The sequence below is a fragment of the Homo sapiens genome, chromosome 2 (genome assembly GCF_000001405.40).
Source record: "Homo sapiens chromosome 2, GRCh38.p14 Primary Assembly".
In the NCBI taxonomy this organism is placed as follows: Eukaryota; Metazoa; Chordata; class Mammalia; order Primates; family Hominidae; genus Homo; species Homo sapiens.
The window spans coordinates 107,986,524-108,013,994 of NC_000002.12; the positions used below are offsets into that span (position 1 = coordinate 107,986,524).

General features: G+C 37.3%; 1 protein-coding gene across 8 annotated transcripts; it reads left to right on the forward strand.

The window, feature by feature from the left end:
* Nucleotides 1-27,471, forward strand: SLC5A7 (solute carrier family 5 member 7). Of its 8 annotated transcripts, none has more exons than XM_047445369.1 (9): nucleotides 1-240; nucleotides 1,464-1,810; nucleotides 5,583-5,696; nucleotides 6,449-6,604; nucleotides 11,315-11,463; nucleotides 15,374-15,517; nucleotides 19,526-19,679; nucleotides 21,942-22,159; nucleotides 23,709-27,471. In XM_047445369.1, exons 2-9 carry the CDS (start codon nucleotides 1,633-1,635, stop codon nucleotides 24,336-24,338), a joined length of 1,743 nt encoding a protein of 580 aa, XP_047301325.1. In that variant the 5' UTR covers nucleotides 1-240; nucleotides 1,464-1,632; the 3' UTR covers nucleotides 24,339-27,471. The 8 variants fall into 8 exon arrangements, with proteins under 8 accessions (XP_047301325.1, NP_068587.1, NP_001291936.1 ...); NM_021815.5 differs by having other exon boundaries at nucleotides 1,582-1,810; NM_001305007.3 differs by having other exon boundaries at nucleotides 1,582-1,810; nucleotides 15,411-15,517.

Below are 27,471 nucleotides of genomic sequence, written 5' to 3' on the forward strand. Positions count from 1 at the left end.
GATTCCCACCTCGCCCTGCGCCGCGCGCCCTCCGCCGGCGCCAACACCTGTCAACTCTGCGCGCTCCCAGGTTCTTGGAGACGCCGAGTGAGGAGCCGCCCTGACCGCCCGGCCCCGCTCCGCACTGCACCCCGACCCACCCCGCACCCTCCCTTTCTGCACCCTCGCACCCACACCCCTCGCGGTTCCAGGGGGCGGCGGCCCCGGGCGGAGCGCTTTCGCGTGCAGCCACCACTCCAGGTAGGAGCGGAGCGGGCATTCCTGCGCCTACGGGCCCGCACCCTCGGAAACGCCTTGGGCACCGAGCCCGGGCGGTTTTAGAGGGGAGGGACGCGGCGTTTTTCCCTCTCGGTGGGATGCGAGGGCGGGTTTGCTGTCTGGCACCGTTGCTGTCAGGGTGCAAGAGGCTACAAAGTCTGGGCGCAGGAAATGGGTAGAGGGGGCCGAGGAAAGGCCGCAGGGGGCCGGGAGAGCATCGGGCTGCTGCGGAGAGGAACTTGCCTGCTTGGTTGCTCACAAAGGCAGAGAAGACACAGCCCGCGGGCGCTTCTTTTGCCTCCTTTAAATTCCAGAGAGGCTGATTCTTTCCCCCAACGTCTCTTCACCCACCTGCACGCACAAATGTCAGAGTTTCCCCCAGAAACTTGTATGTGAGAGTTTGGGTTCATGGAACAGCTGTGGTCACAAAGGTAAAAAATAAATAAAAATAAAAATAAAAGGGGACAAGAATTTCAGAAGGTGAATGCTTTCGAACTTGACATCTGTCTTCTAAGAGTCTTGATTTTAATATCTTTGAGGCTTCTGATGTGCTTTTAGGCAATTGTGTTTAAAACAACAGCAACAACAACAACAAAACCTTTTCCTGTATGTACCATTAATGGGGGGTGATGAATTGAATGAAGGATATTGGGCGAAGAAGATCAAGAGAATGGATCCTTTCAACAACAAAAAACATACTTAGTTGCTATAGTAACTTGAACTACAGAAGCTTGTTGAAAATGTGGAGTTTGATGTGTTTTTGAAATGGATTTTTCTAAAGATTTTTTTCAGATATTTTTATATCAGATTACTACTGAAGCCATTCTCTGAAGTTGTTTGAAAGGACAGATAAAAGAATGAATAAATTAATGAATATTTTAAAATTTTCAGAATGGTCATTTATGAAACACTTAACACTTCTAGAATAAATAATTCTAGAAGAGTAACTTAGTTCCAAAACGCAGATACAGCGCTACTCTTTGTAAATGATTTGACAGTTACTGAGTTAAGATATACACGACAAGGTTAATTTTAAATTTAAAGCATGTATGAAACACACAAGGATTATGATTCCATTTGTTAAACTACATTTCCGTTTTTTTTTCTGTTTCTTGCAAACTCAAAATAATGTTAAATTGTTAAATAGAAGTAGGATAATGTAGTGGACACTTATTGTTAACTGCCCGTTTCACGTGTGGTTTCAGGGTTGTACTCTTTCTGTGAGTGGCACAGGATCTCGCATGAGCCAGCTGGTTTATTCCTGGCTGCCTACATGTGCATAGTGCTTGACTGGTTTATAATGCATCCCTGTATTTTCTTCAGAAGACTTAATGAAGTAGCCAGCTGCAGAAGAATCTGGATCATTAGATAAAAATGGCTTTCCATGTGGAAGGACTGATAGCTATCATCGTGTTCTACCTTCTAATTTTGCTGGTTGGAATATGGGCTGCCTGGAGAACCAAAAACAGTGGCAGCGCAGAAGAGCGCAGCGAAGCCATCATAGTTGGTGGCCGAGATATTGGTTTATTGGTTGGTGGATTTACCATGACAGGTACGTTCAGACGCCGCCGGCTCCATGCAGTCCTCCCTTCCTTGGCATCTGTGAGTGTGCAGCGTGTGGCTTCAGAGTGACAAAGCAAATGTTGGTCTTTGTCCTTTGGGGATTCTTTATGTTCACTAGTTATATATATTTTAAAATAATTTTCTATTGATTTAAAACCTAAAAATAAATTGGTTTCAACTCAGTAGTACTTGAACAAAAATGATTTTATAATAAATCACTGGACTGAACAGTCATGAAACAAATCTTGGCTCCCTGGGCTATTGAGTGGGTGGAAACAGAGTAAAAACAAAGAGGTGGGGGAATGGGAAGCTGTCCTAGTATTACAAGCTATGTATCTGCTAATTAATGTGATAGGCAGCATCTCAACGTGTCCGGTAATACATGCATAAAGTTGTGACTTTGAGATTTAAATAAGTGCCAATGAATACCATCTAGTGATGGTTTTTAATCTGCATAAATAAATTTGGGGGTGATGATATTCCCAATTGAGTGATTCCCTGTTTTGAAACCTAATTCTTTCATTTAATAACTAATTCCTCACAGGAAGACAATCACATGTTATGAGTCCACAGCACTAATAAAGAGATTTCATGAACCTTGTTATAAAAGGGAAAAGCTAGGGTGTGTCCTCATAGGAATCCCCAGGCCACCATCTGCAGTCATCTCTCATTCAAACCTTCTTTGTGTTAGCAGGAGCTGATATTCTTTCTTACTTTGCACTAAAGTGGTTCTGTTTAAAGGGTGATTTGTTTCTTTTTTATATTCTTCTTGGTCGTTGAAAATAATTCTGAAAAACATCAACTTAGAATTATATGTTTAATATTTAATACAGTTGCACTAACAACACATATTTCATTATACAGTCTTAGTAGAGTTTTTAAACATTTGCAACATAGCAAGAACTGTGAGCGTTCATTGGAAAAATATCCCATGGGAAATGATATCAAGTGATGCCCAATTTCAGTCCCGAAGGGCAATTTTAAAATGATTCACCGTGTATATCAGATAGTTTACCAAACCAGTCTGGGGAGAGGCCATTCATGTTCTGAACCCCTTGACTTTGGCAATCTGAAACTTACAGTGTTCTATGTGAGCCATCAGTTTTATCTTTCAGACATTGACATTTTATCTTTGTTTAACTCTTCATCTACTGTACGTGGACTCATTTGGTCTTTATAACGGCATTATGATGAGCATCTGGGGTTAAGTGGAGATCCCGGGTTACAAGGTTAACAAGGACCAGGGCTGGAGCCAGAACCAAACACAGGTCTCCGGTAACTTAGTTCCAAAATGCAAGTACTGCGTCATGCTGGTGACCGCCCCATGCTGTGCCACATGCAGCCCTGTAACTAGTTTCACTTTATTTCTTTCAAAAGGTGCACAGTTTGTAAACACTGCAGAAAGAATAAGAAAGCTGCTGCATATCAAAATATGTTGTTTATTGAAAATAATTATAGCCCTCTACTATTCTCATTTAATATTCTGTTTAATATGGTCATAAAAATAATATTTTATATTTTGTTTTTACCATTTAGAATGGTTTTTTTCAACCTAACAAGCTATTAAAAGGTACGGAAAATATTTGAATCATGCTATTTTTTATAAAGGGCCATGATCTTCCTCAGTTCGTAAAACTTTTTTTTCTTTCTCAGAACTCAAAATAACCTTGGTCAATATCATAATTCATTTAAAATCTGAACCATACTACCTAACCTTGTCAGATTGATTGACTTGGATATATTTTATAAAGAATAGAGATAAAAAATGTTGATTCTTTTAAAAATGAATATATTTTAAGAGGTTGTGTTCTCACTCATGGATCTGACACAAAATATACAAACAAGGAGAGCAAATACTGTTATAGAAGAGACTAAATTCAATTATAAAGGGGACTTTTAAATCTTAGTAAGTAGCCAAGCCCTCACTTCTATATCACAATAGTTGCAATGATTCAGTCACCAATTTTCTTTTTGGACAAGGGACAGTAGACTTACACAATGACGAATGATCACTAATGAGCTTTGTGCTTGTAAGACCATCAGACCATTTACTTTATGCAGTAAAACATTGACGTGTTAGCAATTCCAGTTGCCTGGTAGAAAGATAAAGTCTCAAGTTTTCTGCCTGTAAGAATTCATTTCTTCAGCTCATGGTTACACACACAGTGAAAAAAAAAAGCCATTTTAAAAATTTCAGCAGGGCTTAGAATAAGAAAACAAATAATGCCATTTGTTATTTTTGTTATTTGTTAACACTGAGGGTAAAAGCTACAGCAAAGGTGGGAGTGATTGCTAAATACGTATTTGTCTCCAGGATTTTGTATATAAACTTTTCATTTAAATGTACTCAAAATTCCTATGTAGGAAAATCTTTTTATGTCAACCCTAAGACTCCCTCTTCTTTGCTTTGTATTAGATTAAAAGCCAGATAAATTTTGCCATAAACACAATAGAAACACATCCTAGGTAGTTTTGTATAGATATTATTTCATTTACTTACATTCTAACTGTGAGATTTTGGAAAATTCATCAGAGTTAAATTTTATTCCTAATGGGATGATGCAATCCAGAATTCAGCCTCATATCTGATAAATTTTTATTACCAACCTGTGACCATCATAACTTTACACAAATTCTGTATAAGGATTGCTTAGAATATTTTGACTGTACTGTAACCTCAACAAGGTGTAAACTGCAAAGATTTAGTGTCCTCTTCAACATTAGTTTTTCAGCAAGGATTCAATATTATACTGTTTCCTCAGAGAAAATGGTGCTAGCATTACATTGTCTATTCAGAGAAAAATATTAATCTGTAGATCATTCTTGGCTCAAACCTGTTAAGTCAAAACTCATTTTCTTTGGTTCTTTGACCTCCTTGCCTCAGCTATTGTGCTACATAAATTTTATTTATCTGAATAAGACATTTTTCATTACTTCTTGTCAAATAGTAAATATCTTACTAAAAGATCCATATTAAAATATAGAATTGCAAGTATGTATGCAGTTCACATTTTACCTTCTTCTGAGTGCTAGGTAGTCTAGGCCTTAAGGTAACATTTAAACTCACTTTGGACACCTTGTAGTAGAAGTGTCATCTCGATCCTCTCTTCACTCCTAATAACTTAAGGTAGTAAGTACAACTTAGTGGTGATGGAGATAAGATTTGCAAGCTCTGATATCCCCAGAGTGTTCAAGAAAAGACTCTATTAGTGAAAAGTACATTTCTACAAACATACACTCACCTACATAGATGCATGTGTACACACATGTACGTACACATGCACACCACTCCGTGAGGACAGTATAAAAACATCAATACAAGTAAAATGGAAGGGCCTTGAAATAAAGAAAATTTACCCCTTGACCTCAGACTATATTACATATAATATCATGAAAATGCTGCTGACTCAATGCATTTAGAAAACATCTAGGGCAGCACTATCCAATAGAAATATAATATGAGCCACAAACATAATGTTACATTTTCTACAAACCTCTAAAAACAAAAAGAAATAGGTAAATTAATGTTAATAGTATAACTTATGTAACTCAATTCATTCAACATGTTTTCATTTCAACATGTGATTAATGAAAGAAAAAACATTTGAAATCTGGTGTTTATTTTATATTCCTAAAACAACTCAATCTAGGCTCGTCACATTTCAGGTGCTCAGTAACTTCTAGTAGCCACTGGTTTGGCAGGCAGATGTAGGTATAACAGGTAAGACAGTATCACTCCCTCACTTTTCATTCTGTTTCAGCTACCTGGGTCGGAGGAGGGTATATCAATGGCACAGCTGAAGCAGTTTATGTACCAGGTTATGGCCTAGCTTGGGCTCAGGCACCAATTGGATATTCTCTTAGTCTGATTTTAGGTAAGTGAAAGTGCAAATCTCAGTGACTCACTCAGTAAAGTATACAGAACAAGAGTATAAATAACAAGTGGAATAACAAGTCAAACACTCTGAATAACCATTGTAAAAAAATGTCCCCAGAGATCTTTAAGGAGTCATTACCAGAAACTGGTAAGTAGCAGAACACTAATGCTTAAATTATTTGATCTCTTGGTTAGGAATATATTTAAAATCCTCTGGACCTGTGGCTGTCAGCACAGTGAATTTCTTAACATAATCATGTTTTATTTCTTTCAAAACAAGTATGGATATATCATTAAAAATGAATCAACTTGAAATGTACCTGTGTTTCTTTTAGCAAGTCAAATGAATAAGAGGTCAAAAGTATTATATAACAGAAGGTACCTCATTTTTGGGGCACTCAAAAGGCTTTTATTGAATCTGTGCTTATTCAAAACCTCTAAATGCTATGTTGAGAGATAGAAATGCATTGAGGCATTTAAGTGAGCAATGTGCTGGTTCATGTTTTTCAATTCACATACCTCAACATGATCCACTTATCCTTTGGACACATACAATGGTAAGTGTACTAAATAAATTATATTAGATTGCTAAACCTAATATTTATAGTAGGTTGGTACTGTGTGCAGACTTGTTCCTCAATCCATACAGGTGTTCTGGAAAATGCATTTTCCTTGATAAATGGCAGCATAGTAAAAGACTATTATATTACATTCTTTTTATTTTCTCCTAAACAGTTGCTTAATTTTTAGGTGGCCTGTTCTTTGCAAAACCTATGCGTTCAAAGGGGTATGTGACCATGTTAGACCCGTTTCAGCAAATCTATGGAAAACGCATGGGCGGACTCCTGTTTATTCCTGCACTGATGGGAGAAATGTTCTGGGCTGCAGCAATTTTCTCTGCTTTGGGTAAGGACCAGCTAAGTTGTCTAGCTGCATCTTTGTAGTTAACTAAACATCAGATACACAACCTTACTTTCCTCAGCCTTGGCTTCTGAGGACATTTTTATTAAAACCATATGCTGAACCATATTTATATGCATAAAAGCTTAATGGAAATTCTACGTTTACTTGCAATATGGTGGCAGAGGTTAAATAAAACCTCAGCTACACTTTCCATACTTGAATTGCCTCATTAGACCAATAACTATGAATTATAATGATCAATTTGCTTTTATGAGTCATATATGATTTTGAACAAAGAATAATGAATTAAGCATAGCTAAAAAGTGCAGTTTACTTAACATAAATGTTTAAAACAAGGATTCATGAACCAGGGGTTAGTGAGAATACTAATACATATTTTTGGTGTTGAATAAATTTAAATAAATGATTTATATCTTAATTTCTTCCAATAAGTGTTCTTCCTGCAAACTGAGAACTTTTTACCTCCCATTGTTTTCCCTCTAATAACTGCCATGTTAATTGGCATAAACACAGATATAAAACTACCTAAACTCCTGAGACAACAGTGTTGCATGTTATTCTAAAAGCACTGATATTTTCAGAGATGTTGACTTTTTAAATAAAATGTTTAATTAAAAACATATATAAAACAGAGTCAGTTCCAGCAGTAAATAACATTCCTAAAGAAGTGAGATATCACCAACCCTCTGCTGACAGAATAGGTAAGTAATGTAAGTCACACAGCAAAACTACAAACTTGAAATATTTCCATAAATTGATATTATAAAGTTCAATGTTACGGTTTAGTAGTGGAAAAATTTAAGTATGGTAGAATATAACAAGAATTTCCCCTTCAGTTTAAATGTCTTCTCAATAACTTACATGAGAAAGCTTGCCCATGCCTTAGCGTCTCCTCGACTCCAATCTACCCTTAGAGACACAGGCTTAGATGTGTACCACATGGGACCAGTTGAGACTGTTGGACCTGACTGAGGCTGTTGAGGCAGCTGGGAGATGGAAGCTCCCCATAAAGGTGTGCACTGCCCCGCCTTCAGCACATCCAATTTCATCCCGCAGGTTAGTCAGGATTTTTTTGATTGCCAACTATAAAAAAGAGTGACTGTTGCCGAAACAAGAGTATTTGATCGTTATAAAATACAGCAAGAACTAGGTGGGGGGCCGGGCGCGGTGGCTCACGCCTGTAATCCCAGCACTTTGGGAGGCCAAGGAGGGCGGATCACGAGGTCATGAGATCGAGACCATCCTGGCCAACATAGTGAAACCCCATCTCTACTAAAAATACAAAAAATTAGCCAGGCGTGGTGGCGGGCGCCTGTAGTCCCAGCAGCTACTCAGGAAGCTGAGGCAGGAGAATGGCGTGAACCCGGGAGGCAGAGCTTACAGTGAGCTGAGATCACGCCACTGCACTCCAGCCTGGGCGACAGAGTGAGACTCTGTCTCAAAAAGAAAAAAAAAGAAACAACTAGGTGGAAAATGCTGCACTTCTCTGGTGCTGGATAATAATACTCCACATCCACTGCTGCTCTTATGTTCTAATGATATTATGTGTAAAACTACACCTCCCTTTCCACCTGACTCTCATTAGCTGAGTTGCATTGGGCGCTTGTTTGCCATTGCTTTGAACACCAAAAAATGTTAATTTTAAGAACAAATTACCTGCTGAGGTATCAAAAAAGGAGTGGGCTGAGTATATAACAAAATACAAAATGTTCACTCATTGAGTAAAGATCAACTTATATAACAGAGCCCTGAAGAAAGAATAGAATTAATAAGCAAATGCTTCTAAAGTATTTTGGAAATATAAAATATAGTAACGAAACTGTGAACTTTGTTATAATTAGTTTTGTATATATGTGTGTCTGTGTTTGTGCCTGTATTACAATATACAGTCAGCTTAAGGATGTAGATGCATTCTGAGAGATGCATCAGCAGGCAATTTTGATGTTGTGTGAACATAGAGTGTACTTACACAAACCGAGTTGGTAGCGCCTACTACACACACAGGCTATACAGTATAGTCTATTGCTCTTAGGCTACAAACCTGTGCAACATGTTACTGCACTGAATACTATAGGCAATTGTAATACAATAGCTATAATGTCACTAAGCAATAGGACTTTTTCAGCTTCATTATGATTTTATGAGAATTTATGTATTTGTGGTTCATCATTGATGGTAACATTATTACCTAATCCATGACTACATATGTAAAATATGTTATTGTCTGTATCTTTCTAAACACTCACATATATCAAACAACATATATAAAAACATTGCTGCTATTGCTTGAACTCTTTGGGAGAGAGAGAGAGAGAGAGAGAGAGAGTGTGTGTGTGTGTGTGTGTGTGTGTGTGTGAAGTTACTTACTGGGTACTATGTACATTATTTGGGTAATGAAAGCACTGAAAGTCTAAACTTCACCACTATGCAGTATACCCAGGTAACATCATTGCACCTGTAATCTTTAAATTTACACAAATAAAAAGTAATAGTTGGATTTAATTAAAATTTAGTGTTTATTACAAATAATTTGATATATTCAAGAATATATAAGATCTATTACCACCTTTCTGTGAATGTGTATAGTTCACCATTGAAACATAGGAGAATCTTAAACTATCTTCTTGGTAGAAATTGACATCCTACAACATTTTGAAGAAATGTGTATTTACACTTCTAACAGCTCAAGTTCAGTGGATTTTCATAACTTTGCAGGATACTTATTTTATAGCTTCATGAGTAGACTAATATTTCCTGGTATACCTCAAAGTATCACTTTGTTTTACTTACAATTGATTTAATTTTTCAGAAAATATTTTAGAGAAAATTTTATCTCAATTTTAATAGTGATAATGGAGAAGTGATTGACGTCTCTAATATCTCTGAGTTACAGTTAAGTGACAGCATCTACTAGGACCCCAAATCTTTGAGATTTTAGTCAGCTAATCTTTATTTTATAATTGAACTTTTCATAATTCATGGTATATAGCTTAGAAGCGTTATTAAAGTGGAGAACTACACACAAAAAAAAAGAACGACAAAGTGTTGGAAGTAAAGTTTCGATTCGAAGTAAATGATCTCAGGAAAAAATAACTTTTCAAATATCTATAAAACAATAACTCAGTCAGTTATCTGAAGTCACTCATCTATAATTATCTCTCATCCTTGTCTTCATTCTCCAACTTCTTACTAGATTTTTCTTTTCAAGGGATCTTTACTCTGGAAAATAATTCTATTTTATCACCATAGCAAAACACTGAAAAATATTTCTTACTGATATTTTGGATCAACACATCTTATATTGAGATAATGTAGTTTCATCTCCAGTGGGTTGCATATACTACTAGCATGCCAATTGAGGAATGGGGGTAGGGTGTAAGACAACTCAGCTGGCTGCAACTGATGATACATAAAATCACAGATCCATTACATGTATGCATTTAATAATGTGACATGTAAACTGTATAGTTTTGAGAACAATAGGGAAAAGGCTACTAAAGCAACAAGTGAATTATGAACTGTCAGTCCAAGAACCACAGCGGCCCAAACTGGTCATACCTCAATATGTTCAGTGGAAATATAGGGACCAACAAACACAATAAACAATGTTATAAAGAGAAACATAAATTTGATTTCTAAGAGAAGTTTAAAATGTTGATGATGAAAATTACTTAAAAATATGATATTCAAATCTTAGGCTCTTCAGTATACTGGTATCCTAGGAGCAGGACTGGTATGTTCTACCAATTAAATAAAAGAAGAGTGATCTGTCGCAAATTAAAGAGGGAGAAATTGATTAATAACATTTACCAATTTGATAATTTGTTCCTACAAATTTTTCTCAATTCTTTGCTGCCTTAACCATTTGTTAGCTATCAAAGCCTAGTAGGGGGCAGAGTAAATGCAAAATGGCAAATGAATGTCAATTGTAAAATGTGGAAATGGGTGATCATGTTTCTCAGAAAGCCTTGTGTTTTTCATAGATGTGACTAATGACGTTTGGTAATGTAATGACGTTTTGGTCAATGATGGACTGCATATATGACAGTGGTCCCATAAGATTATAATAGCATATTTTTACTGTTACTTTCTCTGTTTAGATATGATGTGTAGATATTCAAATAGTTACCATCATGTTACACTTGCCTACAGTGTTTAGTACGGTAACAATCTGCACGAATTTGTAGCCCAGGAGCAATAGGCCATACCATGTAGCCTAGGTGTGTAGTAGGTTACACCATCAAGATTTGTGAGTGAGTACATACTGTGAAGTTGCACAACAGTGAAATCACCTAACAACACATTTCTCAGAGCACATCCCTATTGGTAAGCAACACATGGCTGTATTTGATTGAGTCAGAGTTCCAGATAGTGAAATTATTTTGAGTTCTTGTAATGTAATTAAATTTCTCAGTAATTCAGGGTCTTCTATAACCATACCATGGATCTGTGTGTCCTCCAAATAAATAAGTTAGCAAACCAGTAATTTCAGAAAGAAAAAGTATGTATCTCACTGAATTTATTAAGATATACAAATTTCAATATAAAAATTAACTTTAGGTGTTTTCATCCACTGCATTTCATATGACAGAGAGAAAAATGTTGTTTATCACTGAACTTTCATTATGTCCTTATACAAAGAGCAGAATCTGTCTGGGCACCTTGACCACAGAACTCTCTTGTTTGTTTCAGGAGCCACCATCAGCGTGATCATCGATGTGGATATGCACATTTCTGTCATCATCTCTGCACTCATTGCCACTCTGTACACACTGGTGGGAGGGCTCTATTCTGTGGCCTACACTGATGTCGTTCAGCTCTTTTGCATTTTTGTAGGGCTGGTAAGTGGGAGCACCCAAGATTCTCCTCCTTTTTTTCTGTAAAAGGTAATGTATTTTATACTAACTCATTAAAAATGAGTAGAAATATTATTTTCCCTCATGAGTAATACATACTAAGTCACATACATGAAATTTCAAATTTCTCCATAAATTAATTAGATGAAAAACTCGTCATTTTGATAAAATTTGACAGAAAAGTGTGCTCTCCATTGGACTGTTAGAAAGGTCTAGGTCTTGCTTTCCTTAATGCCTAGATTTGATGGAAACTTATGCATGATCTCCTTTTAGTATTTAAGGCAATCCATTTCCCTCGGCAGAGATAACAAAATTCAAACCTTAGTGGTAACTTGTACAAGTCTCCCTTTACGTTAGTTGGTGAATCCTAAGAATGCTCATAAGACATAGAAATGATCCCATTGGAAAACTGTGGATTTCAAATATTAATCATCACTATTTGTGGTCTAAAAACAAAGAAAATTCTTAATTATATAAGGCACCAGAAAGATTTATTATCTATTGTTTTTATTATAATTATGAGACATGAGTATTATTAGTATTATTAGCACTATATTAAAAGCACTTTTGTGTGTCTGAACATATTTTAGTCAATGTTGAAGAAATGTGAAGAGTACAGTTATGCATATAATATTCAATACCTAAGATGTATCAAAAGAAGAATAAAAACTGGTGTGTCCATGCTGGGCTAGGGTCATCATAGGTTCATGTACATTATCTCACCATACACATATATTATCCCAGTTGTAGATTCTTTAGGGGCAATGCCCTCCTGCAAAGGCCACAGACTGAGCAACCTAACACTAGAGATCATGATTCATTTTCCCAAGGATGGTTAAGTACTCTTGATTCTCCTCATCTTTATTTATTTATCTTACAATTTAAAGCATTTCATTATATTTTACTTTTGACACTAGACACTTAGAAATTAAAAATGAAGAAGTAATCTCATGCCCTTCTCTCCTTTTTATAAACTTTCCATCATCTCTAATAATATCCTAGAGGAAAAATTGTAAAAAACAGACTACAATTAGATGTGCAGTTTAACTATAAATTTACATACGCTAGCAAAGATTATAGTATTTTCTCTTTTCTCCTTAGACATTTTATTTGCATTTCATGGAATTTCGTCCATTCATATTGTAACTGAATATGAGAATATTTAATTTGCTCAAGGACTCCCACTATTTTGTATTTAAATTACCAAAATTAAGTGGACCGTGCTGAAATTCTGATTTTTCCTTAGCATCAACATAAACTTCCAGAAATAAAATAGGGAACATAGAAATAAATCCCTCTTCAGAATGTCAGGAGCCAGGTTGGTTTGGCAATGACAGCTCTCATAACTGATGCACTAGGTATTCCAAGAAACACAACCCCAGGGAATGAACCTGTTATTGATGATATATGTGATTTCTCATTGCTTTGTATGAGACTAGAACTTAAAACCCACGGGTGCATAAATCAAGTATGCAAGTGTAAAGATGACAGTGCAAATATGTTAGAATATTTTTCCTGCCACAAAATGTAGCCAAATTGATAAGGAATGGAGTTCTGTTGGTTACTAGAGAAGGCCCTATTGAATTGGTTGAATAAAAGACTAAATAATGTTGTTTTCCAAACTTTAATTGCTGTGTGAGCATACATAATTAATCAACTTACCCCTTAGACCACCTTCTTTTCTCAAATTCTCTAATGTCATTGATTTTATCATCACCCCTGGAGCTCCAAAACTGTAAACTTGAGGTTTTTCTTTTCATTTTCCCTCTCTCTGACCTCTCTCTCCTTCTTGTAAGGGTTGTTGGCTCACTCTTCATAATCCTTTTTAGTACCGATATTTTTTCATTCCCAGTGTCACTGCTTTACTTCAGCCTTCATCTAGGTGGAATTGAAATCACCTACCACTTTCCCTGACTCTTCCTTTTCACTAAACTCACCATTCATGTCTATGTTATTAAATTTCAGAATAAATTCCACTGAAAACTTTTTAAGACTTAAAAGAATTTTTTCTAGCTTCCAGTTGCCTGCAAAAACAAAATACAAATCCTTTAGCTTGCAATTTGAGTTTTCTCCACACATCCATCTTTATCTCTCCCATTTCCCCAAGCTACTCCCTTGCCAGCAAAGCCTGTCACCAACAGATGTGGGTGCGAGTGTACACGCACACACACACACCCCATTTATTCTTCTCCTCTTTGACTTGCTCCATCTAAACATCTCTTCCTTCAATTCTTTATTCTTCTACCTGTTAGTATTGGGCCCATCTTTGAAGGCTTATATGTCACCCATGTATTTCTCAATCACATATTTTCTTATTACTTTAATGAATGGATATCTTTCCCTTAAGGAATGGATATCTTTCCCTAATTCACAGAAAACATAAAAGTGTGTGTGCCTACACACACTTTTATATGGATATATATTTCAAATATAATTTTTAAAAAATTTTTATTTTATTTTGTTTATTATTATTATTTGTAGAGACCAGGTCTCACTGTATTTCCCAGGCTGATATTGAACTCCTGGACTCAAGCAATCCTCTAACAGTGGCTACCCAAAGTGCTACGATTATAGGCATGAGCCACTGTGCCTGGCAGTTTCTTTTTCTTTTGCGACAGGATCTGGCTCTGTCAGCCAGGCTGGAGTGCAGTGGCTCAATTACCACTTACTGCTGCCTCTGCCTCTCAGGTTTAAGCAATCCTCCCACCTCAGCCTCCTGAGTAGCTGGGACTACGGGTGTGCACCACCACATCTGGCTGATTTTTGTATTTTTGGTAGAGATGGGGTTTCACCAAGTTGCCCAGTCTGGTCTAGAACTCCCGAGCACAAGCAATCCACCCAGTTAGGCCTCCCAAAGTCCTGGGATTACAGGCCTGAGCCACAGTGCTCGGCACCATTTATTTATTTATTTTTTAATACAATTCTTTTTTTTTTTTTTTTTTTTTGAGATGGAGTCTTGCTCTGTTGCCCAGGTTGGTATGCAATGTCCAGTCTCGGCTCACTGCAACCTCTGCCTCCAAGGTTCAAGCAATTCTCCTGCCTCAGCCTCCCAAGCAGCTGAGAAATACAATTCTTTATTAGAACTCAAGTTTGTGTTATCCAACATTTAACAGAAGAGGAAAACAAAAACAATCCACATCCCTCCCCTCCTCCCCCCACCCACACACAAGGGGATATATATCTCAATAGCTACGTATCTATTTATGTATGTGTGTGTGTGTGTGTGTAGATAGACAGTCAGAGATAGATAGATGATAGATAGGTAGGCAGATAGATACATAGATAGATTGACAGATATTTCAAATATAATATTTTCTTCCTAGAGGTTTTATGTTGCTGCTGCTATAGTTTGTATGACATGGTATAATCAAGCATAGAAATAGTCAATGTGGCCGGGCGCGGTGGCTCACGCCTGTAATCCCAGCACTTTGGGAGGCCGAGGCGGGCGGATCACGAGGTCAGGAGATCGAGACCATCCCGGCTATAACGGTGAAACCCCGTCTCTACTAAAAATACAAAAAATTAGCCGGGCGTAGTGGCGGGCGCCTGTAGTCCCAGCTACTTGGGAGGCTGAGGCAGGAGAATGGCGTGAACCCGGGAGGCGGAGCTTGCAGTGAGCCGAGATCCCGCCACTGCACTCCAGCCTGGGCGACAGAGCGAGACTCCGTCTCAAAAAAAAAAAAAAAAAGAAAAGAAATAGTCAATGTGTTATTTTAATTCATCTAAATCAGTATTTTATGGTGCCCAACAAAAAACAGAGAACATGATTTCCGATCCTTCTCTGTCTGAACTAGAGGAACTACTGAGCTGTGCAGTGTGTGAGGTGTACAAATCTTGCATATATCAGACAGTTGAAAACCATCGCCTAGGGCTCCAGTGTCACTTTCTGTTGCAGTGGATCAGCGTCCCCTTTGCATTGTCACATCCTGCAGTCGCAGACATCGGGTTCACTGCTGTGCATGCCAAATACCAAAAGCCGTGGCTGGGAACTGTTGACTCATCTGAAGTCTACTCTTGGCTTGATAGTTTTCTGTTGTTGGTAAGTAATGCTCTTACCTGAAGAATGTGATTTAATTGTTCCTGAAATCAAATTTGTTTTCACGATTTTCATATTCATAGTAAAAAAATGTGCTTGTGGGCTCATGGCCATTTCTGAATTGAGGACTCTCTATCGGGAGGGTGGAGCCAGGGCCGGACTATCGTGGCTGGCAGTGTCAGGGTGGAGAACAAATGAGGCCCTGAGGGGACAGCATAAGGTGTTCTGGGTGGTGGGTCCTCATTTCCGTTGTGATGTAAGTCAAGGAATAACATGCCCTACCCCCAGGACTTTCCCCAACCTGAAGGCAAAACCTTGTAAAGGCTTTATTTTGTGTTTTGAATTAAGGCATGAAACCCAACTTATGAAATAAGTCTCTCATTCACTCTTGAATTACAGAGTAAGTGAATTAGTAGTGCTAGAGGCCCTAAGTGAGGCAGGTTGGAAAGGGACATGTCACTCAGGAAAGATGCCAAGAGAGAGGCCCTCAGGAGCCAGAGGAAGCTTGAAAACAGGCAGAACTTTGGGGCAAAGGTGCAGGCACTTTGAGGAGGACATGGAAGAGATAATGGCCGATCCCATTGAGGCAAGAGGGAACAACCAGAAGAACTGACCAGATTTTACGACTGTGCTAATTAGAGGAGTTAGGCCTGAAAATAACACACTGTATTTGATTTCAACGTAAGAAATCAATTATGGCAGAGTGTGGTGGCTCACCCTGGTAATCTCAGCCCTTTGCCAGTCTGAGGTGGAAGCCTCACTTTGAGGCCAGGAGTTTGAGAACAGCCTGGACAACATAGCAGGACCCCATCTCTATAAAAAAAAATCTTCTTAAAAAAAGAAATAGATTACTTTTTCTATTAAGCTTAAAGGGAAATTGGTTATTTTTGTTTTCTCTGTAGAAGGTTGGCAATATTGTATGACTTTGTGATCGTGGCACATGGCTGAATTCTAGCATTACCTCAACACTCAAAGTGACTGTGTCTTTTCCAGTTAAAATTTTTCAAGTAAAGGGCAGGAAAATATGGCAAAAATATGTTTCCAGTAGTGGACTGGAGGGCTTCTTTGCCTAAGGATTGTTGAGAAATCTGTTGGCTCTCTTTTTTCTGGTATGGCTTAAAATCATGAACTGAAGGAGTAAGAGTAAATATGTATATGTAACTATACCTGCATAGTAGATGTGCTTATGGTTACATCATAGAGAGGATGAGACTTAGAACAATTAAGCAATTTGTCAATAATCACATCATTGTCTGAGTTAGAGATTGATATAGAATATTAAGACCTCAAAGTCCTTTCCCCTACAGCACACTTTAGTCTTCAGACTATTCATCTTTAAAATAAGACATTTTGTAAAGTGATGGCTAAATTTCTTCCAGCTCTAAAAAATTATATGACTTAGTCATATTCATGATTCAAATTATAAGACAAGTTAAAATGAAGTAGTACATGTTGAATAAATGAATGAACTATAGAAATTGGCCTTGAAATGTTGCATCAATGGTCTTGATCTTCCAGTGGTCTCTCCTACATCCCCTATGTGAAGATGACTTGTCAAGTCCTGCTAGTGATACTGTCAGTGTATCTCCTGGTCACACTTGGAACCTTCCCACTGTACCCATGTTTGCTCTCTATTAGGTAGACTGCATTCCTTACCTGGTCTACTCTGATAACCCCCACTCATCTCTCTGATGGCAGCCTGCCCACCTCTTACTCTCCCATGCCCACTTTCCATATTACTACCTACTTTAGTCAGTTTGGGCTGTTGTTACAATTTACCATAGACTGGGTGATGTACAAACAGCAGAATATAATTTTTATAATTCTGGAGGCTGGAAATCTCAGACCAGGGTACCAGCATGATTAGGTTCTAAAGATGGCAGTATTCCAGGTTGCAGACTGTACACTTCTCGTTGTGCCCTCACATGGTGGAAAGAGGGTGAGAGAGGTCTCTGACCTCTTCTTAAAAGGGCCCTAATCCCATAATGAGGGCTCCACCCTCATGACCTGATTATTTCCCAAAGACCCCACCTCTGAATAGTATCATGTTGGGATTAGAGTTTCAACATATGAATTTTAGGAGGACAAATATTCAGTCCATTGTATCATGAGAGCTTCTGTTTGTAGATGAAGTCAGACTTTACCCTACTTAAAAACTTCTGATGACCTAAATGTCCAGGGTGATGAATATGTAATTTATGATGTATCAATCCATTCAAGTCATTGACATGCAAGATGTTAATGATATATTGATAAAACAGGTCACAGAATGAAAGGAAAAGGTTTTGGAAGAATATAGACTTCAGGAATGGGGTTATGAATTTTAGAATTTTTTCCTTTAATTACTTTTGAACATATATGGCTTTTATAAGAAGGAGATTGTTATGGTATCTATGTTACAGACATTCTGCTTAGCCCAGGTGAGACCATGATAAGACAGACGTCCCCAGAACCCAGAGCCCAGTGAGAGAGACAGGCAGTTAATGAAACCTTAATACATTGTGCTATGGCAACTCATTTATCAATTCATTCATTCATTCATGTGACCAATATTTATTGAATATTGACTTTATGCCAGAAAGAGAAGTAGCAGTAATCTAGCCAAAAGTATGCTTCCAGCTTCTCCTCCAACCACTCCCTCACTCACCTCTCATCATACCAAATACCCAGTGGTCTCAACTGCCTGGTCGCTGTCATTATTTTCTTTTTTCCTATTAGTTTCTCTCTCAGGTACTCTCTTCTCCCTCCATCTCCACCTGTGGAAATGCTCTCAAAGCCTATGGACAATCTGCACTTCATTTCTGCAGGTTTTCCTGTTAACATGCAGCTACCCTTTCTCTCTTCTTACCACCTTTTTCTCATCACAAATAATTAATGGTTTATCATTTTAATTCCCATACAGACCTCTTTATATCATGCAACAAATTGCATTATAGTTTAAACGTTTTTTATTGTATATGCTCAATAAGAAATTTAAGCACATTCCAATATAGGTATGTATATCTATCAGTTGCTTATATATTCTGTACTAACGTATGATGTAAATCATTTAATAAAAGCAACCATACAATATTTAGGTACAACGTAAAATTAATATACATAGAAGTTCTAGTATTTATTATTTGATGCCGGCTGTATTGCCTTGAGCACTCTGCAATGCTCACTGCGGAAAACACCACATACATTGACTCTCATAGTAGAAAGTAAGTTCCAGGGAAAGACCATGCCTTATTCATGTTTTTGCTCTTACAGCCATTACATTGCCTGGCACATGATTGGAGTGTATAAATATTTTTGGGTTGCATTGATTCAGGTTAAATGTCATACTTTCAAAATCTTAATTATTTTCTGAGAATATTTTATGATGGTTAGAACCACCAGATGATAACAAATTGAAGGCCTCTGGGGTAGTTTAAATACAGTTCAAAATAGGTAAATTAATGAAAAGAAATAATTGCTGTATGTAATTATAGAGAAAACTTCAGGAAATTCTGCATAATTGAAAGTTGATGATACATTGTCTTAGTTCAGTTGGGTAACAAAGCATCATAAACGGAGTGGCTTATAAACAACACAGATTTATTTTTCACAGTTTTTCACATCGCTGGGAAGTCCAAGATCAAGGTGCCGGCAGATTCACTGCCTGGTGAGGATTCGCATCCTCATAGAAGGCACCTTCTTGCTGCCTCCTCACATGGTGGAAGGAAAAAAACTCCTTTGACTCCCTTTTATAAGGACTCCACCCTCATGGGCTAATCATCTCCCAAAGTTGCCAACTTGATACCTAATACCATCACCTTGGGGATCAAAATTTCAATGTATGAATTTAGGGGGAACATAAACATCAGATCATAGCAAACATAATGATACTAATTGATATTTGTGGCTACATGCCACATTTTTTTTACTACTTCTAAGTTGTACTTAGGCCTATTCTAAATGTGATTGCAATAAAACTCTTTAAAAAAATGAATAGATGTTTGCCTCTCCATCCTTGTGTTTCCCGCACAGATGCTGGGTGGAATCCCATGGCAAGCATACTTTCAGAGGGTTCTCTCTTCTTCCTCAGCCACCTATGCTCAAGTGCTGTCCTTCCTGGCAGCTTTCGGGTGCCTGGTGATGGCCATCCCAGCCATACTCATTGGGGCCATTGGAGCATCAACAGGTAAATCTCTTGCAGCTTCACCACATGTGCCAGTTAGTTTACCAATCCCCACCCAGACACCCTTCTGTCCCACTCCCCTCTTTCCTCCACATAGTGAATTCTTTCTCACCACATTCATATCTATAGATTTGTTATAGCATTCAGTAAATCGTATTATATAGTTCAGCGGCCTCCATTTTTTTTTTTTTTTTTTTTTTAGTAGAGACGGGGTTTCATCATGTTGGTCAGGCTGGTCTCAAACTCCTGACCTCAGGTGATCCATCTGCCTCGGTCTCCCAAAGTGCTGGGATTATAGGTGTGAGCTACTGCGCCCAGCCTCCAATTTTTTTGATTGCTCACTCCACTATGAAACATTGGTGAGCACACCCTCCTCCCAGTTTTGGTATATTTATCCATTGTTTATATGCACTCCTGTCAGCAGTGGATCTCAACCAAGGTGCATGCTGACATCATCTGGGGAATGGTGGGGAGATCTTTTAAAAATACGGATATGTGGCCTACTTCACAGGAATTTTATTTTAATAACTGAAGATAGAGATGGGCACTAGTGTTCTTTTAAAACCCCTAGGTGAGTTGAGAGCCAGAGTTGAGAGTCACAGGCTTAGAGACGTTTACCTGTCATCCTCATGACCTCCCTAAAGATCACTTTGAACTTGAGATTTCTGCTTTACACCTTTAGTAGTTTTTAATTAGGGGTTTTCTTTCTTGAAGAAAGTGATGGATAAGCATTTAGGTCAAGACAAACAAACAAAGTCACTTAGAGAATAACTTATTAAAAAATGGTTTTGAAAAAAGAGCATTATGAAATGTTTATCTCCCTGTTAGCCTCTATGTAGAACATGTTCAAAAGCTCACCTTTAATTTAATTAAATGTATTAATTACTCCTGACCTTTATGTTCCGGTGCTGTAACTTTTAAGAGCACTTAATGAAAATACATCATGTTAATCCAAATTCAAAGGCATCTTCTACGTAGAGGTAATAAAATAGATTAAAGTTCACCTTTTGTCCTGTGGTATTCTGTAAAGGTGATCCAGGGTGATGTTCCTACAGCAACTTTGACTTTCGATTAGTAGAGTCTTTTATTGGATTGTTTAACTTTTAGGAGAGCAGTCCTGGTTCATAGTGTACACTCTCCATTCCAGTTGTTCATCCAGGAGACAGACACTTCAAAAATGTAAAGATGACTGACGAAGGTGGTATGTAGTGTTTGTCTCTGAAAAAAAAAAAGATAGTATTTCTCTCACAAGCAGAAAACATATATGGACGTGTGTGTGTCTGTGTGTGTGTGTGTGTGTGTGTCTGTGTGTGTGTGTTTATTGTAGGAACACAGGCTAACAGAAACAGCATTAAGCCTATTTTTTCTTGGATTAGATACACATTCTTGTTTGTTATTTCTGTTATCATAAAATCTCAGTTAAGGCCACAAAGTTGCCTGCATGTAAGCAGGCTTTGGTGACAATTGTAATAGAAAATGAGGGAAGAAAAAATGGTAGGATCCAAAGAGAACAATTCCTATTTGGTCCAATGATCATGATATTAAAAAAGTTCAGCAAATAAAAAGCCGACTATGCTAATGAACATTTAAGGATTCCATAGTTCTTCAACACATGCTACAACTAACCAGTAAAGAAGCTATGTATTCAAAGATAAATCTGTGTTTCAAGTCTTCTTACCCTACCCACAACCAAAACTTCCTGAAAATTTCAGCCACATGACTGTAATTTTTATTCAATAAAAAGGGACTGTTCTTAACCTAGTGAAATTCTATGCAATGTGGAAATAGGAGAAAAGTAATGCTGAGGCAGCTTCAAAACCAAGTTTATGTACAGAGAGATGATGGCTGAGAATAGCCCTACTATTGTCTTTCTTCATTTACACATGAATAACTGAGCCTTAAAGAAGAAACAGTGAGTGTCCCACCACATTTCCAAGTGGTTGAAGGAATACTCTAGAATTCTGTTTATGAGAGTTTGTTTTCTATGATTCTAGGCAATGTAACACCATCATTGCAGAAAGGAAATATATATCTTACCACCAGTGTCTGTGCAGGCATTGTGAATAACACTAACTATAACCAATACCTTTTAGAAGCCAAGAGATATAAGACATTTCCACTTGACCAGCACATGGACTTCACACCAGACTAATGTATATGATTCTGAGTTTATTTCAAAACAACCTAGTAAATAGGATGACCCCAGATGGATAAAGAACATTTGGTTCCTTGGTGGTTATAATGGTTGTTGATTCTGTTCAACAGACTGGAACCAGACTGCATATGGGCTTCCAGATCCCAAGACTACAGAAGAGGCAGACATGATTTTACCAATTGTTCTGCAGTATCTCTGCCCTGTGTATATTTCTTTCTTTGGTCTTGGTGCAGTTTCTGCTGCTGTTATGTCATCAGCAGATTCTTCCATCTTGTCAGCAAGTTCCATGTTTGCACGGAACATCTACCAGCTTTCCTTCAGACAAAATGTAAGAACAGTTTCTTTCAACCTGACATTTACTAGCATTGCTCTTGCTGCTTCTGATGTTGTATTTGTTGTATATACAGTATTATATATTTATTAATATTCTATGTTAAATCTGACTGTACTTTAAGCATACGAGATTAAATAACAAATTATACCTATGCTGAATGGATGCTATCAGTACCTGTTCTTATTCATGTCAATACTAAAGGGAACAAATCAATATAATTATTTCCCAAGAGGTACAGTCACAGGGCTATCATTTAACCTTTTTGTCTTTCTGATGAAAGAGTAATGAAACCTAAACTATTCAGCAAAACTTTTAGTATAATTAAATTCTCTATGACACTGGAAAATCTTGGTGGAAGCAGGGCATGGTAAGTTGTTCGACACGTATTTTTGTAACTTCTGAACTGTTTTATACTTGCACTCCAAAGTCCACCTTTGCAGGAAGATATCCTCTCAATTTGATTTTCTTTATTGAATCAAAGTGGCTGCAAAACAGCATGCTTCTTGGTTGATTAAAGCTTTTCCTCTCTCTAGGTTTTAGTTAACAAAACAATCCCAGTGTTTTTGCTTTTGCTTTGTTTTGTTTTGATTTTATTTGATTTTTTTTAATTAACCAAAGGAACTCCTTGAACAAGGCATTTTCTTTTTGTTTTTAATTTTACTTTAAGTTCTGGGATACTTGTGCAGAACGTGCAGGTTTGTTACATAAGTGTATGTGTGCCATGGTGGTTTGCTGCACCTATTGACCCGTCCTCTAAGTTCCTTCCTTGCACCACCCCCCACGCCCCCCAACAGGTCCCAGTGTGTGTTGCTCCCTCCCTGTATCCATGTGTTCTCATTGTTCAACTCCCACTTATGAGTGAGACCATGTGGTGTTTGGTTTTCTGTTCCTGTGCTAGTTTGCTGAGGATGATGGCTTCCACCTTCATCCATGTCTCTGCAAAGGAATGATCTTATTCCTTTTTATGGCCACATAGTATTCCATGGTATACATGTGCCACATTTTCTTTATCCAGTCTATCACTGATGGGCATTTGGGTTGGTTCCATGACTTTGTTATTGTAAATAGTGCTGCAATAAACGTATGTGTGCATGTGTCTTTTCAAGAGCACCAGAAGGTGGTTAGTTTAAGGATGGTAGCACTTCTACAAAGAGATAAACTAGGGATGGCCTATGCTCTGTCAATGCCACATAAGAACTGTTCCCTAATATGTAAAGTGAGGAAATCTTCCCTTGCTTTATTATACCTCCCTGACACCATGTTAGCTCATCCTGCCTTTGCCCCTGTGCATTCAGGAAAAGGCTCAGGTGGCCTGTGTGTCATGCATCTGGTACACAGAAACCCCTCCCAAAGGTCCACCCAGGAAGTCACCTTGATTGTTTGCTTTGGGTGCTGTAGCTGTAGTTGGTTTTTCCCATAGATTGAGCCATTTGAACCAGGAGAATTCTTTAGACCAGTTTTGAAGCAAAAAATATGTCTCATTCTTTGCCTAAATGAGCCAAGACACTGTGCAAAAAGCTGACACTGTGGCAATTTCTTACAGGCTTCGGACAAAGAAATCGTTTGGGTTATGCGAATCACAGTGTTTGTGTTTGGAGCATCTGCAACAGCCATGGCCTTGCTGACGAAAACTGTGTATGGGCTCTGGTACCTCAGTTCTGACCTTGTTTACATCGTTATCTTCCCCCAGCTGCTTTGTGTACTCTTTGTTAAGGGAACCAACACCTATGGGGCCGTGGCAGGTTATGTTTCTGGCCTCTTCCTGAGAATAACTGGAGGGGAGCCATATCTGTATCTTCAGCCCTTGATCTTCTACCCTGGCTATTACCCTGATGATAATGGTATATATAATCAGAAATTTCCATTTAAAACACTTGCCATGGTTACATCATTCTTAACCAACATTTGCATCTCCTATCTAGCCAAGTATCTATTTGAAAGTGGAACCTTGCCACCTAAATTAGATGTATTTGATGCTGTTGTTGCAAGACACAGTGAAGAAAACATGGATAAGACAATTCTTGTCAAAAATGAAAATATTAAATTAGATGAACTTGCACTTGTGAAGCCACGACAGAGCATGACCCTCAGCTCAACTTTCACCAATAAAGAGGCCTTCCTTGATGTTGATTCCAGTCCAGAAGGGTCTGGGACTGAAGATAATTTACAGTGACCCCATCTAAATAAAATACTGCTTTTGCAAACAGAACACTGTAATAGGGTAGTTCTGGAGAGATGGTATGCAGCATACAAAAATATATTAAAAATATAAACAATGTTCAGGAGAGTAAAAATTCATATAAAGTGCAATTGCACAAATACAAGCCAAGCTAGAAGGAAGCACCTATGAAAGCAACAACTTTGTTTCTCATCCATAGTAGTATTGATTTTGATGCTAGATAGTTTTGCTAGGTATAAAAAATAAGTAAAGTTCCACTTAGAGAACAAAGGGCCAAATAGAGTTTTTATATTTGTTATGATAAAAGGAAGTAGATGTGAAAAAGCCTAAGAAAAAGGAAATTGGACAGTTTTGATACAAACTTTGTTTGCTAATGCACTGATGAGTCTAGTTTCATTATAGCACGAAGCTATGAGAATAACTTCAGTCACTCCCTTGAATGGTGCAATGAATTAACCAGCTGATTTTTCTTAGTGTGATGATTAACCCCTTCTTTCATGTTCTGAGCTATAACATTTGCTGAATATGCAATTTGTTATTCTTTTATTAATGGCATGTAATATTCTGAGCACGGGCAAAGAAAACACACAAAAGATTATGTATTGGCATTTATTTATGTGCAAGGTGATAGGAAAACTGAATCCATCTTTGTAGAAGAGCACTGGGCTAATTTGTATGTTTCCATAGCTACTATATGCATAAACAACAGTACCTGAAGGATTATTAAGCAACCTTAAAGCAATAAGTTCATTAAACAGAAGGTAATAGGAAGAACAGTACATTTTTGTCTTTATCTCAAGTATATAAAGTTTTGCCCCATGATAAAATAAGTAACATATAAATTAATACATAAGTTAATATTGGAAGTGAAATTAGGCCTTATGTAAGGAGAGGTAGCTACACAGCATCTGTTACGGTTAATGAGAGGCACACTGCTAAATTTACGTATATTTCATTGAATACTTTATGGGAAGCCTCCACAACACCTCCTGATAGTAGTAAAATTAGAAAAAAACAAACTCTACTAATTTTTAGATATTCATTAATAGGAAAGATTTAATGTTACAGCATCTACTCTTTGGCACTTTTTCACATAAGCCAGCCTTAGAGACTAGACAAATAACTACTGCAAAAAGTACATAGTGAATTTTAAAATGTAGAAGAAAGCAAAAAATAAAATAAGTCCTAAAGTGAAGAAGCCATCAATTTTAACATTTGATGTCTAGATAACATTCATGAGATTGGTCATTAAATACTATTTTGCTCCTTTTCTGGTGTTACACATACACACTCATACGTGTGTGTGTGTGTATGTGTGTGTGTGTATGTGTAATGATTTGTGTCCATTTCAAGTGTTTTCACACCAGTCACACATTATAGAAATTACTGGAGCCATGTCTACAAAAGCAAAGTGAAGTGATGAGCTGAAAAGTGATCAGGGAATCTGATCCCATAAAGAAAGTGAGTCTGAATTGTTGAAACTAAAGCACTTCTTTTCCAAAAATACTTCTGCAACTCATGAACAAAATGAAGTTAACTTAGTGTTTAGCATTAAAAATAAAAGTTGTACCTTGACCCTAGAATTCCTTTTATAAGATTTAATTGTAATTGTCTCAAAGCATCAAATAATACATCTTTATCATTAAACATGAATTTAATGTCTAGGATAATTTTTAAAAGAGGAAATTAAATAATTTTACATGTCTCATATTTTCAGTGCTTTCTCAAAATTTGATGGTGAATATTACATTGCATTCAAAATCTTCACTGAATATCATATGTATCTAAATGAAAAGAGAATTACTTATATTCATCTATTTTCTCAGAATCTATTCAGTACCCTATGGAGTACATGGAAGAAGTATATTTTTGGAACCAGTAAGTATGGGAGTCCACGATTCTCAGGTATTGATTGAAAAAAGAGAAAGGGGCAAGAAATTCATTAAAGAAAAACCACAGATACTGAAACATTTGACACATAAAAGTAATTAATTGCTGGAGACTACAATTCCTGGCAAACACCATTATTCCAGATGCACCATGCTACCCAGCATGCTACCTGAATGGCGGTTTTTATCCATCCTGTCACCCTGAGCATCTGTCTCAACCTGCTGAGGCACAGACTTCCACCATGTGCATCAGGAAACACCTCACTCATACTGTCATATAATGCAACAGGGAGGCATAGTCTCTCTACAGGTCTCTCTCTTTACGTTGTACCATTCTGTTGGGCAACAATTGTCCCAACAACCACACTTAAATCCAGTGGGGAAAAAAAGGTTAACAGTAAAAATTTCTTCCACGTAATTCAATTTCTCACAATAGACAGAAACAGGGGGAAAATGTTTGCCCTGTTCAAAGTACTAAAACTAGATAACTTAAATAATTTAAGCCAATAAATAATATTATATTGTATTTAACCCATTATTCCTCACCTACCCTCAAAGTAGGTATACAAAAGACTAGTTTGTTATTAATCCACAAATATGCTAAATGTTAGCAAGATGATTTTTAAGTACAAAAAAGTTTAAGATTGCAAGGAAGGAAACAATGGTCACAAGGTCTTTACTTATGCACATTTGTGCATAAATTTCCACCCAATTTCCAAGACAGTTGTATCACAAAGCTGTGAAATGTGCAAGAGTATACTTTGTACCCATCATGTGCTCTGTTTTGACATAATGAGTAATGCAGACATTTACATGTTCTTCCAGCTTCAATCAGTAGACCTGATTTTCAAAATCTGCCCTCAGATGAAAATAAAATAAACGAAACATTTAGACAATGGCTATATTAATCTGGGAAGGCAACACCTGTGGATAAAACATTAGAAGAAAACATATATTTTATTTTCATACTTTTGATATGATTGTAACATATTTCTTGAGTAATTTAAATGCTTTGTTTTCCCACACATATTCAAATCAGCAAGCTTGTAGCTGGACTGCAATATCAACAACAAGTTGTTTCAAACAGCATCAAAATACAACTTCATTGCTACACTTACAAGTAATGAATTTTATGTGACTATGAAACGAATATAAGCTTAAAATAAGTGAATCTAATAAAATGGCTATTCCTCTTTTTACTTGGAAATAATAAATTAACATTATATTTTAAACATAAA

What these genes read in the sequence shown, in the direction of transcription:
- SLC5A7 (XM_047445369.1), top strand. Translation starts at nt 1,633, where the DNA reads ATGGCTTTCCATGTGGAAGGACTGATAGCTATCATCGTGTTCTACCTT. An exon ending in TTCTCTTAGTCTGATTTTAG is followed by an intron (nt 5,697 to 6,448) that starts GTAAGTGAAAGT and finishes CTTAATTTTTAG; the next exon opens with GTGGCCTGTTCTTTGCAAAA. An exon ending in AGCTTTCCTTCAGACAAAAT is followed by an intron (nt 22,160 to 23,708) that starts GTAAGAACAGTT and finishes AATTTCTTACAG; the next exon opens with GCTTCGGACAAAGAAATCGT.